At 35.2% G+C, this 13,546-nt stretch overlaps 1 protein-coding gene across 8 annotated transcripts in view, besides 2 other annotated features; it reads left to right on the top strand.

Annotated features, from left to right (window-relative positions):
* The window catches only part of ARHGAP29 (Rho GTPase activating protein 29), a 145,688-nt gene that overhangs the window by 113,090 nt on the left and 19,052 nt on the right, over window positions 1-13,546 (top strand). For 7 of the 8 annotated variants that reach the window (XM_047434759.1, XM_047434754.1, XM_011542439.3 and 4 more), the window contains 3 exons: window positions 11,420-11,577; window positions 12,151-12,287; window positions 12,562-12,666. In XM_047434759.1, coding sequence (XP_047290715.1) covers window positions 11,420-11,577; window positions 12,151-12,287; window positions 12,562-12,666 — 400 coding nt within the window. The remainder of the gene's footprint in view (window positions 1-11,419; window positions 11,578-12,150; window positions 12,288-12,561; window positions 12,667-13,546) is intronic. The other variant, NM_001328666.2, reaches the window with a different exon arrangement.
* Window positions 1,600-2,130: an enhancer, noted in NCBI's record as "NANOG hESC enhancer chr1:94664929-94665459 (GRCh37/hg19 assembly coordinates)". NCBI's record gives its function as "activates a minimal SCP1, AML or CMV promoter by ChIP-STARR-seq in primed H9 embryonic stem cells {active_cell/tissue: H9 hESC(primed)}" and the evidence as "EXISTENCE:reporter gene assay evidence [ECO:0000049][PMID:30033119]".
* Window positions 6,776-6,987: a silencer, noted in NCBI's record as "fragment chr1:94660072-94660283 (GRCh37/hg19 assembly coordinates)". NCBI's record gives its function as "represses an EF-1alpha promoter that drives an FKBP-Casp9 reporter gene in an ReSE screen in HepG2 liver carcinoma cells {active_cell/tissue: HepG2}" and the evidence as "EXISTENCE:reporter gene assay evidence [ECO:0000049][PMID:32094911]".

Genomic DNA, 13,546 nt, shown 5'->3' with positions numbered 1-13,546 from the left:
AGGAAGGAAAGAAGGGAGGGAGGAAAGAAGGGAGGGAGGAAGGAAGGGAGGGAGGGAAAAGAAAGAGAAGTCTCTATCTGCAGAAGGGGAAGGTATGCCTGATAAGTTACAATTCTTACGGGATTTAGATTCTGAGATTAATGAAATGTGTTGAGTTTGCAGATTGATTTTCAGTTTTTCATAGTGATATACAGTTTGAATTTCTTTTGATCTGCCTTTCCCCATGTTCTCTGGATTGATGATTTGTTTGGTTAAAATTGAAGTCTGAGAGTTTAAAATTGCCTCTAAGCCACCAGTTTTCTTGGCTTTGCCGACATCATTGATTTGACCCTTGAAACTTCTGCCAGTGCTCTGAGATATATTCTTCAGAATTGGAGTAAATTAAATATTAAAATTGAACCAAATTATTTGGAGACAAAGCATTCTGTCCTGAAGTATTTTTATTTACTCTTTAAAATGTTTTTCGTAAAATTAATTACATGGAAAACCTTTTTTTCATGTATAGTCCACAAGTTTTAACAGTTACAAATTTGTGTAAGTACTGCCACAATCAGGATTCAGAACAATGCTATCACTTAAAAATGATTCCTTCATGCTACTTATTTTGTAGTCCAACTCTCTGCCCACTCCTAACCCCTGGCAAGTACTGATCTGTTCTCTGCCTTATGAGTTTGGTCTTTTCCAGATTGTCATACAAGTGAAATCATATAGTATATAACCTTTTGACTGGTTTATTTTACTCAGCATAATGCCTTTGAGATTCATCAATGTTATGCATGTATCAATAGTTTGTTTCTTTTTATTGCAGAATTCCATTGTATGACTGTACTACAGTGTTTATCCATTCACTAGTTGGACATTTGCGGTGTTTCCAGTTTGGGGTGATTATGAATAGAGCCGCAGAATATTTTCTTATACATTCTTGTTGAACATAAGTTTTCTTGTTTCTCAAGTCAATACCAGGAGTGGGATTACTGGCTGGTGTGCTAAATGTGTAGTTACCTTTATAAGAAACTGCCAAACTGTTTTCCAGAGTGGCTATAATATTTTTCATTCTAACCAGCAGTGTATGAGAGTTTTGGTTGTTCTGTGTCCTTGACATGTATCAGTCGTTGTTTTTAAATGTTAGCTGTTCCAATAGGTGTGTTATCTAATTGTGGTTTTAATTTGTGTTTCTAAAAATGATTAACGATATTGAGCATCTTTTCAAAGGCTTATTGACAATCTGTGTTTTAGCTATCTTAAAAATTGAGTTGTTTATTTTCTTATTGTTGAGCTTGCATATATTTTCTCTCATTCTGGAGCTTCTCTTTTTATTCTTTTAGCAGTGTCTTTTGGGGAGAAAGAGGTTTTAATTTTGTTGGAATCCAACTTATCAGTTTTTTCTTTTATGAGTCATGCTTTTGGTTATACCTAAGAGTGCTTTACCTAACCCAAGATCATAAAGATTCATCCTGTGATTTCTACTAAAATTTCAATAGTTTTACATATAGATATATGATCCGTTTGGGCTTAATTTTTGTGTAAGGTTTAAGGTACAGGTTGAGGTTCATTTTTAGCATATGGATGTTATAATAAAATTATACCCACAGGATGTTACTTTATCGGAGTGACACAGAAAGGTCAGTGCCATTGAAAGAAAAACTTAGGATTTAAATTTCCCAAGAGAAGGGGACATGTCAATCCACACAGGGCCACAAGGGAATTACCAGGTTTGGCAAGCGTAAGTAGGGATGAAAGAAAGCTAAGTAGAGCTTTTATTGGGGTTTCCTCAGGAAAGGCAAGGTAAACTGTTTAGGATTGGCTAGTGTGAATTTCCATGGACTTTGGAGCATAGGGATGGTCTCCCGTTGTTTGGTACCTGGCCCTGGGGTGATTTAGGACAGAGAAAATAATTGGCTTTGTGTGTAAGAGTTAGAGAAGGAGGTGGCTGGATCTATAGACTTGAGACTTGTTGCTTTGCACATGAAAGCTGTGATCCTAGCTGTGCCCTTGGCTATCTCTAGGAATTAGCTAGCCCAGAGAGAGTCAGTCTCTCATTGGCCAGCATGCTTTTTAAGATGTCAAAACTGCATAAAATAGAGAAAATAAAAAACATGGTAAATGCAGATATCCACTTGTTTTGATACCATTTGTTGAAAACACTATGCCATTTTCATTAAATTGCCTCTGCATCTTGGTAAAAATCAGTTGACCATATTTGTAGGTGTCTACTTGTTTATTTTCTATTTTGTTGCACTGAAGTACTTGCTGTCTTTTTTTTTAATGCTTTAAGTTCTAGGATACATGTGCACAACGTGCAGGTTTGTTACATAGGTATACATGTGCCATGTTGGTTTGCTGCACCCATCAACTCATCATTTACATTAGGTGTTTCTCCTAATGCTATCCCTCCCCCAGTGCCCAGCCCCCCGACAGGCCCCGGTGTGTGATGTTCCCCACCCTGTGTCCAAGTGATTCCATTGTTCAGTTCCCACATATGATTGAGAACATGTGGTGTTTGGTTCTCGCTGTCCTTTTTATAAAGCCCCAGTGTCTCGATTATTTTTGCTTTGCAGCAAGTCTTAAAATCAGGTACACAGTGTGGGTCTTCCAGCTTTATTCTTTTATAGAATTGTTTGAGTATTTAAGGTTCTTTGACCTTCCATAAAAATGTTAGAATCAGCTTGTCCATATCTCCAAAAAACTCTTGCCAACATTTTGGTTGGAATTGATATTAAATTTTAGATCAGACTGGGGAGCATTGACTGTATATGTAGCATCTTAGCAATATAAAGTTGCCAACACATGAACATATTATGTCTCTCCAACTACTTAGGTCTTTGATTAAGAAAAAAAAATCAGCATTTTGTAGTTTTCAACATACCTTTAATAAGTTGTGTTAGATTTAATCCTATATACGTATGTGTTTATTTGGGGGGGCTATTGTGAATGGTCTATATGTACACATAAGTGCATATGTATAGATTTCCTTTATTTAAAATTCCCATTGTTAATTGGTTTGGGGGGTTTTTTGTTTGTTTTTGTTTTTTGAGACAGGGTTTTACTCTGTCACTCAGGCTGGAGTGCAGTGGTGTGATCATAGCTCACTGCAGCCTCACCCTCCTGGGCTCAAGCAATCCTCAGCCTCCCAGGTAGCTAAGACTACACGTGCATGCCACCATGCCCAGCTAATTTTTGTATTTTTTTGTGGAGACTGGGTTTTGCCATGTTTGCCCAACCTGGTGTTGAATTCCTGGGCTCAAGGAATCCACCCACCTTGGCCCCCCAGAGTGCTGAGATTACAGGTGTGAGCCACCGTGGCTGGCTGTTTTAATTGTTAATATTTAGAAATATACTTGATATTTTGTGTGTTGGTTTTATATTTTGCAGCCTTGCTAAACTCACTCTTGGGAGCTTTTTGTAGATCCTTTGGGATTCTCTACATAGAAAACTATGTTACCTGCAAATAGGGACAGTTTTATATCTTCCTTTCCAATCTGTATTCCTTTTATTTCTTTTTCTTATTGTCCTAACTAAGGCTTCTAGTACACTGTTAAATAGATGTGGTGAGAGAAGACATCCTGGCCTAATTGTCCATCTTAGGGGAAAAGCACTCAGTCTTTCATCATAAAATATGGTGATAGCTGTAGGTTCTTTGAAGGTGCCTTTTATCTGGTTAAGAAATTTCTTTTTTCTAGTTTGCTGAGAGTTTTATCATAAATAAAGGTTAGATTTTATCAAATATTTTTCTGCATTATTTGATACATGTGGTTTTGTTTTTAGCCTGTAAATATGGTGCATTACGTTAATACATGAGTGTGGACCTAGCTTTGCATCCCTGGAATAAGCCCCTCTTGGTCATGAGGAATTGTTTTCTTTTTTATATTGCTGGATTCAATTTGCTACTTTGTTGAGTATTTTTTCTTTTTCTCTCAGTGAAAGATTGATATGTCTAAAAAAAATGTTTTTGTCTAGTTTTGAAAGTGTCAGGGTGATTCTGGCTGCATAAAATGAATTGGAAAGTGCTTCCTCCTATTTTGTTTTCTGGAAAAGATTGTTTCAAATTTGTGTTATTTCTTCTTTAAAAGTTTGATAACATTCCTCCAGTGAAAGTGTCTAGGCTTGGGATTTTCTCCTTTGGAAAATTTTTTTTTTACTACGTATTCAGTGTATTTTGATATAGGCCTATTCAAGTTAATTATTTCTTCTTAGGTGATTTTTGGTAGCTTGTGGCTTTCATGGAATTGGTCCTTTTTATCTAGGTTGTTGAATTATGTGCACAGTGTGTCTTGTAGTATTCTCTTACCTTTTAATGTCTCAGTGGGCTGTAGTAATAACCTCTCTTTCATTCCCGATACTGGTAATTTGCATCTTTTTTCTCTTTCTCTCTCATTGGTCAGTCTGGCAAGAGGTTTATAAGTCTTATTATCTTTTTAAAAAAGAAATAGCATTTAGTTTCATCAGTTTTTCTTTTTCTTAATTTTACTGATTTCTGCATTTTATTCTTATTTCTACTTTCTTTGGGTTTATTTTGCCTTTTTAAAAAAGTTTCTTAAAGCACAAGCTTATGTTGTTTATTGAGACCTTCCTGTGCTTTTCTGATACATTTAATTCTTTAAATTTTCCGCTCTAAGCATTGCTTATGTATATCCCACAAATTTTAAAATTTGTATTTTCATTTATATTCAGTTCCAAATATTTTCTAATTTCCCTTGAGACTTCATCTTTGATCTGTGGATAATGTAGAAGTCTGTTGTTTAATTTCCAAGTATTTGAGGATTTTCTGGATATCTTCCTGATACTGATTTTTAGTTTAATTCTATTATGGTGGGAGAAATACTGGTTATGATTACATTTCTCTTAAATTTGTTATGTAGTTTATTTTATGACCCAGGATGTGAGTCATAAACAAGCAGAAATCAGTAAAAAGAAATCAATAAAATTTAAAAAGAAAAACAGGGGCCGGGCGCGGTGGCTCACGCCTGTAATCCCAGCACTTTGGGAGGCCGAGGCGGGCGGATCACGAGGTCAGGAGATCGAGACCATCCTGGCTAACAAGGTGAAACCCCGTCTCTACTAAAAATACAAAAAATTAGCCGGGCGTGGTAGCGGGCGCCTGTAGTCCCAGCTACTCGGGAGGCTGAGGCAGGAGAATGGCGTGAACCCGGGAGGTGGAGCTTGCAGTGAGCCGAGATCGCGCCACTGCACTCCAGCCTGGGCGACAGAGCGAGACTCCGTCTCAAAAAAAAAAAAAAAAAAAAAAAGAAAAACACGGAAAAATCGAAACTAAAAGCTGTTTCTTTGAAAAGATCAGTGATGAATTTTCCACATGTACACTTGAAAAGCATGTGTGTTCTGTTGTTGACTGGAGTGTTTTATAAATATCAATTGGTTCCTGTTGTTTTAAGATGTAATTTATTTCTTCTGTATTCTTGATGATTTACCTTTGCTACTTTTATCGATTACTGAGAAAGGAGTTTTGAAGTCTCCAACATATTGTGTGTTTTTAGTTCTATCAGTTTTTGTTTTATGTATTTTGAAGCTCCGTTGCTTACACAGTAACAATTATTAATGATCTTGGTATATTGATCCTTTTATCCCTAGAAATGTGTCTCTTTTTATACTGATAAATTCCCTTGCTTTTTATTTTACTTTATTTAATACTGATATGTTATTCCAGTTTTCTTTTGGTTATTTTGAGTGTAGCATATCTTTTATCATTCTTTTAATTTTATCATATTTAAAGTGAGTTTCTTATATAGCATTATAGAGAGCATATACTTCTATTGTGATTTTTTTTAAAAATCTATTTTGGCACTATCTTATAAGTGGAGTGTTTAGACCATTTATATTTAAGGTAAATATATGTTCAGATTTAGTTTTATCATTTTATTTCTTTTTTGTTTATGCCTTATGATATTTTCCTTAATCTATTTCCCTTTTGCTGCCGTCTTTTGGATGAATTGATACTTTTCTAGACATATATTTTAATTTGTCTACTGGGTTTTTTATTATGTATCTTCATATACCTTTTTTAAAAAATTGGTTGCACACATCTGTGTTATTAAGAAGCTATAGTAGCTCAGGTTATATTCCTAACTTTTAAATGTTTTCTGAAGAAAACATTGTGAAGGAAAAAACAGTGTGGATGCTCATAACACCTCCCCTGGCACCACTGTCATAAACTGAATATTGCTTGCAATGTCTTGGATTCACTGTCAATTGAATATTGGGTTGCCTGGCCCATGGGTCCAATCACCAGAATGGTTTTTTTCCCCTTTGTTCTTATAAAATGAGAGAAAAGTTTAATAAATGAACCAAAACTGAGATTTTGTTTGGTAGAACTCTTTCCCTTCCCTTCTCGTTCTAATGACTACAGTGTCTTTTTCAAGAGAATATAGCAGTTACAAACCACTCCTGGCCAGCTTCCAGTTAGGAAATTCAATTTTTATCTTTTTATATAACCCGAGAAAATCTCCCTCTAATTATCATTTAGAAACTTGCATTGCCTTGATAACCACAATGGTTGCATGTAGACTTCTATTATTACTTTTTACTTTTGTCTACATTTACTCTCAGTGAAGCTAAATGTAAAACTACATCGCTTGACCAATGAAAAAATGTGTTTGATTGTTTATGTCATATAGAGTCAACCAGTTAAGCAGCATATATCAAAACATAATGGTTTTTGAGATCATTTAGCATTGTAAATTCTCATTAGAACCTCACAATCTTGGTTGAATCTTTGGTATTTATCTGTTTAAGACTTGGTTGAACTGAGTTGCTATGGACTGCTTATGACCCCCTGCAAAATTAGCATGTTGAGTTCCTAATCCCCAGTGTGATGATGTGATGATATTTGGAGGGTGGGGCTTTTGGGAGGTGACTAGGTGGAGCCCTCATGACCCTTCCCCTTCTATCATGTGAGGACACAGAGAGAAAAGAACAGTCTACGCATCAGGAATTGGGGCCCACACCAGACCCTGAATCTGATAGTGCCTTGGTCTTGATCTCTCAATCTCTACAACTGTGAGAAATAAATCTTTGTTAAGTCACTCTGTGGTATTTTTGTTGTAGCAGCCTGATGTGACTAAGAACATACAGATGTAGTAGTACATATATGGATTCTGTCATATATGAAAATGGATATTGTGTCATTAAGATACAAAATAAGCATTCTGGTAAAAAAAAAATTATCTCTTTCATGGAACAGAAATAGAAGTTCTGAGATTACTAGTTACCTGAAAGTGTAGTAATGAACTGTGAAAAACTGTTGAAGAAGCCGAGCATTTAATGTGGCTTCCAGAGTTTTATGAAAATGCTAGATGCATTAAAACATGTACTAGGACAATTCAGCCTAAAATAGATTATTCTATAAATAGCCAAGTTTAAAAAAAATGGTTGCACACTTATCTATATTTATACATACACTTAATTTTTTTACAGTCTACTTAGAACTAGTTTTTTACCACTTCAAGTGGAACACAGAAGCATCACCACCGTAGAAGTTCCTTTACCTAATCTGGGTTGTATTTGATATATGTAAATTACATCCATATACGTTGAAAACCTCACCAGACTCTCATAATTTTTGCTTTTAAAAGTCATACATATTATAAAGAGGTTAAGAGGAAAAAAGTAGTCTATTATTTACTATTTCTATTCATTCTTCTTGCATTCTAGTGGTTCCATCTTTCCTCTGGTAACACTTTGTCTACAGAACTTCCTTTACCACTATTTTATAGCAGGTCTGCTGGTAATGGATTCACTTGGTTGTGTTTCATATGAGAATGTCTTTATTTCGTCTTTATTTCTGAAGGACACCTTCACTGGATATAGAATTCTAAATACAGAAATCAGTTCTTTCACTGCTTTAAAAATATTGTTCCACTGCCTTATGGCATCCGTAGTTTCTCATGAGATACCAGTAATCATATGAATTATCATTCCCCAATTGTGGCATGTGTTTTTCTTTGGCTGTTTTTGTGGGATTTTTTTTGTCTTTGGATTTTATCTGTTTAAGACGTATCTAGACCTGGTTTTTGCTGTTTTTCCTGTTTTGGATTGGTTGAACTTCTTGAATCTACAAGTTTGACTCTTGAAAAATTTGAGAAGTTTTCAACTATTGTTTCTTCAATTTTTTTTTTTTTTTGTAGTATTCTTTTTCCTCTTTCTCTGACAGGCAGTGACTCAAACACTAGAGCTTTTGTTAATCTTCTGCAGTTCTGGAGGTCCTCTGTTTTTTCCCCAAAGCTTTTTCCTCTTGGTTGTTTATAGTGTTCTGTTGATCTGTCTTCAAGTTCACAGTCTCTTTTCCTTTGGTTATCCCCATTCTCCCATACAGTTCATCCAGTAAATTTTTTGTTCTGGATATTTTATTTTTCAGCAATAAATTTTCCTTTTGTTTCTTTATATCTTACATTTCTTTGCTGAGACTTCTTCTGTTTTTCCATGTTTCAAGATTGTTTGCTCTACTTTTTTGAAACCTTTGTAATAGTTGTTGTAGATTTTTCATCTAATCGTCCCAAATCTGAGCTGTATCAGGGTTGGTGTCTTTTTATTGTCTTTTGTCTTGCGAGTTGTTGAGATTTTCCTGGTTCTTTGTATGACAAGTAATTTTGAATGATATCCTAGATATTTTCATCATTACTTTATTGACTCTGGGTCCTGTTTATAACCTATATTGAGCATTAATTTTTTTTTTCAATTTTAGCAGCCATTTGATACAGTTAGGTTCATTTTCCAGCTTCTGCGTGACTCCCTTCCTAATCTTCTGGCTGGGGGCTTAGGTCTGCCTATTCTGCTCTTCTCCAGGGCCAAGTGTGGGGAGGATAAAGAGAAAAAAGTAACAGAAATTTCAGACCCTCTCACTCTAGACTACAGTTCATCTGGTCATAAACAAGGATTTCCATCAGAGTTTTGGCATCTCCTCAGCTGCTACTGCCATCATTGCTGCTCCCATAAGATTGTGTCTTAGGGATTTGGACTTGCTTGGGGTCTGGGGCAGGAGAGAAAATAAATATACAAAAGAAACCAGGGAGTTTTCTTCTACTGTTTTAGTTTCATCTCCCATCACCCCTCCCCGCTTTTGTTCCTTGGGCCAGAAAGGACCTCTCTTGGAGCTCCTTCTGTCTGCACTCAGTTTGTACTTTGGGAATTGGAGAATTGGGTAGGAGCTGAGCATGGGCTGGAAAAGAGGGCAGGAGTAGACCTATCACTGGATAGGTCATACCTTGAATTGTAGTTTATTTCCATTTACTTTTCAGAGTCTTGATTTGTGCATTCTGTTCAGATTTTTAGGTGAATTCAGTGGGAGACGGGAGAAGTTAGCTTACTGCATCTGAACCAGAAAACTTCCTTAAAATATTTTTGAGTGTTTAATATTGTATCTCATTTATTTTCCAAATTTTGATTAATTAATATATTATTTACTTAAAGAATCATGAAAGGATTTAAAAGAATTATAAAATCCAGGATTTGAAATTACCTTAGAAGTCATTTAGGCCATTTACTTTTGACAAATTCTCTTCACCTCAAACAATAGCTAATAATAGCTAAGATTGACTACGTACCTGCCAGTGTATTAAGCTCATGGTCTACATTAATTCATTTAATTCTCACAAAAATCCTATCAAGTTTTTAGCTCCATTTTACTGATGAGAAAACTAAAGTTTAGAAAGCCTTCTCAAGATGCGGTCCTTGGACCAGTCATATTGCCATTACTTTGAGAGCCTATGAGGAATGCAGAATCTTGGGTTTCAACACAGATCCTTAGAACCATAATCTACATTTGGACAAGATCCCCAAGGTGATTCATTTGCACATTAACTTTTTCAATGCACTGGTTTAAATAAATTATAAATAACTTGATGAAGGTCACCTAGCGTGCAAGTTACCTTTAGGATCAAGAGAGTAAGCAGTTTACCTTTAGCTGGAGAATGCTCTAACATAGCCAGTTGCTAGAATTAAACTGTACCTTATGCAGTTTGAATTTTCTTTGTTTCTTGAAGAAGTTAGGGCACAAATAAGCTATTTATTCTGTTATCTGTACTTTTCAAATACTATTTATGCAGAGTCAAGTATCCTTAGGGAATGCCTGTCTACATTGAAAAGGACTTAGAGGCTAATTATCCTATCATCTGGTATATCAAGAGAGATGAAGAGGAAACATGGCAGTCTTTGAAATAACATTAAGCTAATCGAAATTTAGCACTTATTCAGATTGCTACCCTTAAATACCTTCCCCACAAAGAAGCCAGAGTGTCATTTTAAAGAATAAATCAGATCATGTTACAGCTTTGTGTAAAATGCTCCACCAGCTTCCTGTTGCTCTTAAATTCAGACACCTTGCCATAGTTCAGATGACTACTTCTTTTTTTAGCTTTATCTTAAACCAGAGCTCCAGCTCTTTCCATATACTTCAACCATATTGACCTTTCATCTCTTTCTTGAGCATGACAAGCTCTTTCGCATTCACATTTGCACTACCTCCTCCTTTCATTTGGATTGATCTCCATGAAGCTTTTCTTACATCGGCTCGCAGTTCAAATGTTACCTCCTCAGAGAAGCCTTCCCTAATTTACCATGTTGGAAATACCCTTTCACAAACACGTACCTGGTCATACTGCATAATTTGACATTCTTATGTAGTATTTATAGCATTTTTCAGTACCAGAAAGTATTTTATTTACGTAATTTGTTACTTCTCTCGCGTACCACCCTCAGGAGAACGTAAAGGTCCAGGAGGGTCAGTATCTCATCGGTTTGCTGTAATATACCCAAAGCCTAGGTTTTTGTGAACATCAAATTAGTGTATTCATGTAAGACTCTGAGAATGGGTCTGGCATATTGTACACACTTGTCAGCTGCTGCTATTGTTGTTAGTACAAGTGATGATAGTGATAATATATTTAGGCATTTGTGAAACTCAATGGAATAATTTATTTTGAATAAATTCAAGGTAATATCTAATTATTAGAACTGAGTACTGTAGTTAAGCATTTCTATTTTTATAGGATTGAAAAAGTGAAAACAGTCTAAATAATAGTTCTTTGATTGGAAGTGTTTTCCCCATGTTTTTCTCTTAGGCAGTTGTGATCAGACCATCAGGATATAGAGATGAGGATCCTCAGAAACACATCCATCTCCTAAAATTATGAACCAGCTGGGGCATGGAGTTTTTGAAGTCACTTTTGAACTTTTCAGCTAAAAGCCAGTTTTGCTGGAAATGATTGCTCCTAGATATTAGATTCAAACTGCTTTTCTCCCTAATCTAGACTTATGCAAAATCAGGCATCATAGTATGTTCAGAGTGATATTCAGTGTTGTATGCTTCACTGTATGGCATTTTTATTGGTGCAGTCATTGAAATAAATGTATGTTTATATAGCATTCTGTATATCATGAGTTACTCTGCCTTTTGTCTCTGGGTCCATAGGTAACAGTTAACCTCTTCCACATGCAGCATCTGCAGGCTGCTTCCCTTGCAGACAGTTTACAGTCTCTCTGTGATAGTGCCAAACTCTATGACCCAGGCCAAGAGTACAGTGAATTTGTCAAGGCCACAAATTCAACTGAAGAAGAAAAAGTTGATGGGTGAGAATTAATGTACAGACAAAATTATTTCAAAATATAAAACACTTAATTGTTAAGTTTCTATCTAGTACAAGGAGGAGACTTTTCTAACTGACAAAATTAAAAATTTTCTGAGTTCTTTAAATATTATTTTATGGTATCGAAGTAGATATATTTAAAGAATAGATGTAATTCATTAACAGTGAGCCTTTCCATTTTGACACAGACTTCTTTTATTTAAGAATTAAAAATCCTTTGGGAATGGCATATGATGGCCATACATGTTTTGAAGGTCGACAAAAATTTAACCTATGTTTTTCACAGAGGTCATGCTAGAAAAGTTTAACCATGACATGAATTAACTATACTTTTGCTATTCACTTCCCATGTTTTCACTGTAATAAGGACAAATAATTAAAAAGTATTTACATCTCCTATAAGAAGCTGAACCATGAGTGTGGTTTGTTTTTAATATTTAGTTTAATTCTTCTATGATTGTTAAATTAATAGATTTTTCTAAACATAGAATGAAATCAACTGATTATTATTCTTTGGAGTGTTGAGTTTTGTTTTTTGTCATTGTTGTTGTTTCAGAAATGTAAATAAACATTTAAATAGTTCCCAACCTTCAGGATTTGGACCTGCCAACTCTTTAGAGGATGTTGTACGCCTTCCTGACAGTTCTAATAAAATTGAAGAGGACAGATGCTCTAACAGTGCAGATATAACAGGTAGTTTTCCACCCTAAAGAGAGTGCTAATTTATAAAAGGTCAGGTTGTTCGAATGTGATTGTTAAATTAATTGGTGCTCTGGAATTTAAAAATCAGGCCTTAGTTTGTAAGTTTATGAGATCTTATTCACAGTTGTTACCATGGTGCCTGTCTTAACGTTGATAACTGGTTATTGTTAAAGAAATTTGAATTGTCTCACTTGATAGAATGTCAGTATTTTACCTTATGAAATCTACCTGTAGCCAAGTTTTGACTTTATTCTTTTTATTAAAGGTCCTTCCTTTATAAGATCATGGACATTTGGGATGTTTAGTGATTCTGAGAGCACTGGAGGGAGCAGCGAATCTAGATCTCTGGATTCAGAATCTATAAGTCCAGGTACATCTATATTTAAGTCTGGCAATGAAAACTCATTGAAAGATCAGTCCTTTTTTAGGTATTTTTTAACTACCTTGTTTTTATAGTGAACTTTCACACATAATAGAGAGGAAAGTGTACAATTTAAAAAATAGTTTTTAAAAACCCCTCATATATTCGCCACCCAGGCTAAGAATAGACGATTATCAGTATATTAGAAGCGCCCTGTGTACACCTCCTTGGTAACATTGCCCTATCTCCCACCAGAATAAACCATTATCCTGAAATGTTTTAAAAACATTCTCTAGCTATTTTAAATGTTTCTAGTACCTATATCTGGTGAAGTTTTGCTCTCTTCTGAATGTTATACAAATTGAATTACGCTATTGTGATTTCATTTATGTGTGTTTTTTTTTAAGATCTATGTGAATGTAGGTAGCCACCTTTATTTTCACTGCTGTATATTCTGTGAATATAATTGTCATATTTTGGATTGTTTGGTACTTAATTGCTATAGTAAACAATGTTATTTTGGTATTTCTGTGCCTGCAATTACTTATTCTTGTTAATTTTTTACAAATGTGCTTTAAGATACTTTAATATAGATTATCTCATGATCCCCAGAGAGAAATAGAGTAAGCGATTTGAATTCTCCCTTAGTGGCTTCTAAGAGAGTAACTTGCCTGGGTTATACAGCTAGCGGGAGAAGAAGGTAGCAGTTGAACCCATGAGATTCTTACATCCAACATTCTGTCTTTACACCTCTACCAAAGACTGCTTCAGGCCCATTCTTTCTGGCAACGTTTCTTTCTTCTAGGATCTTAATAGATTACAGGATTTAAGCCATCTCAGATTCCAAGGCCTTTTTCTTCTTTTACATATTGCTGAAGTTGTACTCATT

The sequence above is a fragment of the Homo sapiens genome, chromosome 1 (genome assembly GCF_000001405.40).
Source record: "Homo sapiens chromosome 1, GRCh38.p14 Primary Assembly".
Taxonomy (NCBI): Eukaryota; Metazoa; Chordata; class Mammalia; order Primates; family Hominidae; genus Homo; species Homo sapiens.
The sequence above is the reverse complement of the archived record's forward strand: the minus strand, read 5'-3'. Positions and strand labels throughout refer to the sequence as shown.